The sequence below is a fragment of the Homo sapiens genome, chromosome X (assembly GCF_000001405.40).
Source record: "Homo sapiens chromosome X, GRCh38.p14 Primary Assembly".
Classification (NCBI taxonomy): Eukaryota; Metazoa; Chordata; class Mammalia; order Primates; family Hominidae; genus Homo; species Homo sapiens.
This window is the reverse complement of record NC_000023.11, coordinates 21,286,724-21,290,472: the sequence shown is the minus strand read 5'-3', so window position 1 is coordinate 21,290,472 and position 3,749 is coordinate 21,286,724.

Here is a 3,749-nt window from a genome sequence, read left to right as displayed (position 1 = left end):
TGCTTAAAACCATACAATCACATGGAATTAAACAACATACTTCAGAATTACTTTTGGGTAAACAATGAAATTAAGACAGAAATTAAGAAATTTTTTGAAGCGAATGAGAACAAAGATACAACATATCAAGATCTCTGGGACACAGCTAAAGCAATGTTAAGATGGAAGTTTATAGTGCTAAATGCCCACATGAAAAAAGTTAAAAAGTTCTCAAATTAACAACTAACATCACCTAAAGGAACTAAAAAAACAAAAGCCAATCAACCCCAAAGCTAGCCGAAGACAAGAAATAACAGAGATCAGAGCTAAACTGAAATAAAACTGAGGTGCACAAAATCATACAAATACTAAACAAAACTAAAAGTTGGTTATTTGGAAGAATAAATAAGATTAACAGAGCACTAGCTAGACTAATGAAGATAAAGAAAGAAAATCTAAATAAACATAATCAGAGATGACAAAGGGGACATTACCCCCAACCCCACAAAAATACAAAAGATCCTCAGAGACTACTATGAATGTCTCTGTGCACACAAACTGGAAAACCCAGAAGAAATGGATAAACTCCTGGAAACATATAACCTCCACAGATTGAACTAGGGACAAGTTGAATCCCTAAACAGAGTAATAATGAGTTCTGAGATGGAATCAGTAATAAAAAGACTACCAACCAGAAAAAACCCAGAACCAGATGGATTCACAGCATAATTCTACCAGGCATATAAAGAAGAGCTGGTACCATTCCTACTGAAAATATTCCAAAAAGTTAAGGAGGCGGGACTCCTCCCTACATCATTCTATGAGGCCAGGAACATCCTGATACCTAAATCTTGCAGAGACACAACAAAAAAAGAAAACTTCAGGCCAGTATCCTTTATGAATGTAGACACAAAAAATCGCAACAAACTACTAGCAAACTGAGGCCAGAAGCAAATAATAAAACTAATCCTCCACAATCAAGTGGGCTCAAAAGAACACATACAAGTGGCCAGCATACATGAAAGAGTTCTCAACACCACTAATCACTAGATAAATGGAATTCAAAACCGCAATTCCTGGGATACAAGCTTGGTTCCACATATGCAAATCAATAAATGTGATTCATCACATAAAGAGAACTAAAAACAAAAACCACATGATCCTCTCAATAGATGCAGAAAAGGCTTCTGATAAATATCCCTTCATGTTAAAAAAAACCCTCAACAAACTAGGCATTGAAAAAACATACTTCAAATGATAAGCATCATTAATGAAAAACCCACAACCAACACCATACTGAATGGACAAAAGTTGGAAGCATTCCCTGTGAAAACCAGAACAAGACGAAGATGACCTCTGTCACCTTCCTATTTGACACAGTTCTGGAAATCTCAGAGAATAATCAGACCAGAGAAAAATAAAAGGCATCCAAATAGAAAGAGAGGAAGTCACACGATCCCTGCTTGCAGATAATATGATTCTATATGTAGAAAACCCCATAGTCTCTGCCCAAAAACTCTTTGATCTGATGAACAACTTCAGCAAAGTTTCAGGATACAAAATCAATTTACAAAAATTAGTAGCATTCTTACACACCAACAGCATTCAGTCTGAGAGCCAAATCAGGAACACAAACCCATACACAATAGCCACAAAAAGAATCAAATACTTAGGAATGCAGCTAACAAGGTAGGTGAAAGTTACCTAAAATGAGAATTACAAAACACTGCTCAAATAAATCAGACATGACACAAACAAATAGAAAGACATTCCATGCTCATGGATAGGAAGAATCATTATTGTAAAAGTGGCTGTACTTCCCAAAGCAATTTACAGATTCAATGCTATTCCCATCAAACTCCCAATGACATTCTTCACAGAAGTAGAAAAAACTGTTTTAAAATTCATATGGAACCAAAGAAGATGGCAGATAGCCAAGGCAATACTAAGCAAAAAGAACAAAGCTGGAGGCATCATATTACCTGACTTCAAACTATACTATGAGGCTATAGTAACCAAACAGCCTTATACTGGTATAAAAACAGACACGTAGACGAATAGAACAGGATAGAGAGCCTAGAAATAATGCCACTTGCCTACAACCATCTGATCTTTGACAAAGCTGACAAAAACAAGCAATGGGAAAAGGACTCCTTATTCAATAAATGGTGATGAGATAACTTACTAGCCATATACAGAAGACTGAAACTGGAACCCTTTTTTCATCACATACAAAAATAAATTCGAAGTGGGTTAAAGACTTAAATATAAATTTAAAACTATTAAAGCCCTAAAAGATAACCTAGGAAATACCATTCTGGACATAGACCCTGGAAAATATTTCATGATAAAGGCACCAAAAACAAATGCAGGAAAAACAAAAATTGACAAATAGGACCTTATTAAACTCAAGGGCTTCTGCACAGCAAAAGAAGCTATCAATGGAGTAAATAGACAACCTACAGAACGGGAGAATATATTTGCAAACGATGCATCCGACAAAGGTCTAATATCCAGAATCTATAAGGAACTTAAATGAATCAACAAGCAAAAACCAACCCAATTAAAAAGTGGACCAAAGACATGAACAGACATTTCTCAAAAGAACACATACAAGTGGCCAACACACATGAAAAAGTTTTCAACACCACTAATCACTAGATGAAAGGAAGTAAAAACCATAACGAGACACCATCTCATACCCATCAGAATGGCTATTAGTAAAATGTCAGAAAATAACAGATGCTGGTGAAGTTGCAGAGAAAAAGGAATGTTTATACACTGCTGGTGGGAATGTAAATTAGTTCAGCCTTTGTGGAAAGCAGTTTGGATATTTTTCAAATATTTTAAAACAGAACTAACATGTGACCCAGCAGTCCTATTCCTGGGTATATACCCAAAGAAATATAAATCTTTCCACCATAAAGACATATGCACATGTATGTTCACCACAGCACTATTCATAATAGCAAAGACATGGGCTCAACAGTGGTATACTGAATAAAGATAATGTGGCAATACACACCATGGGATACTATGCAGCCATAAAAATAATGATATCATGCCCTTTGCAGTAACATGGGTGGAGCTGGAGGCCATTATTCTAAGTGAACTAACACAGGAACAGAAGACCAAATACCAAATATTCTCACTTATAAGTGGGAGTTAAACACTGAGTACACATGGACGCAAAGAATAGAACAATAGACACCAGAGCTTTCTTGACGGTGGAGGATGAGAGAAGGATGAGGATCAAAAAAGTCCTTATTGGGTACTATGCTTACCACCTGGGTGAGGAAATAATCTGCACACCAAACCCCCATGACACACTGTTTACCTATATAACAAACCTACATTTACCCATGAACCTTAAATAAAAATTAAAATATATATGACAGTAATTGCCAAAATATAGAGAAAATATATAAACTATTTTATGTTTAAGAAAGGGAAAATTTCCTAATCATATTAATGTATAAACTTACCATTTTAGATGGAATTAAATTAATAGATTAGAAGGCATGATATTATTACTCTGATAAAGTTATGATAAGCATCCATTCAATGTATACTAAAGTAAGTTAAGATGAATATGTAGCATTTTATTAAAGTAGATAATAATGTGGCATATATATGTCAAAAGAAAGCAATTGTTAATAACTGGAAAAAATCAATTTCAATATTTTATTAGTGGTGATTAAACTGCTTTCAAATTCTATTTTTCTGAATCACTCTAGCAAATTCTTATTTTTGATATAGCAGTTTCTGTA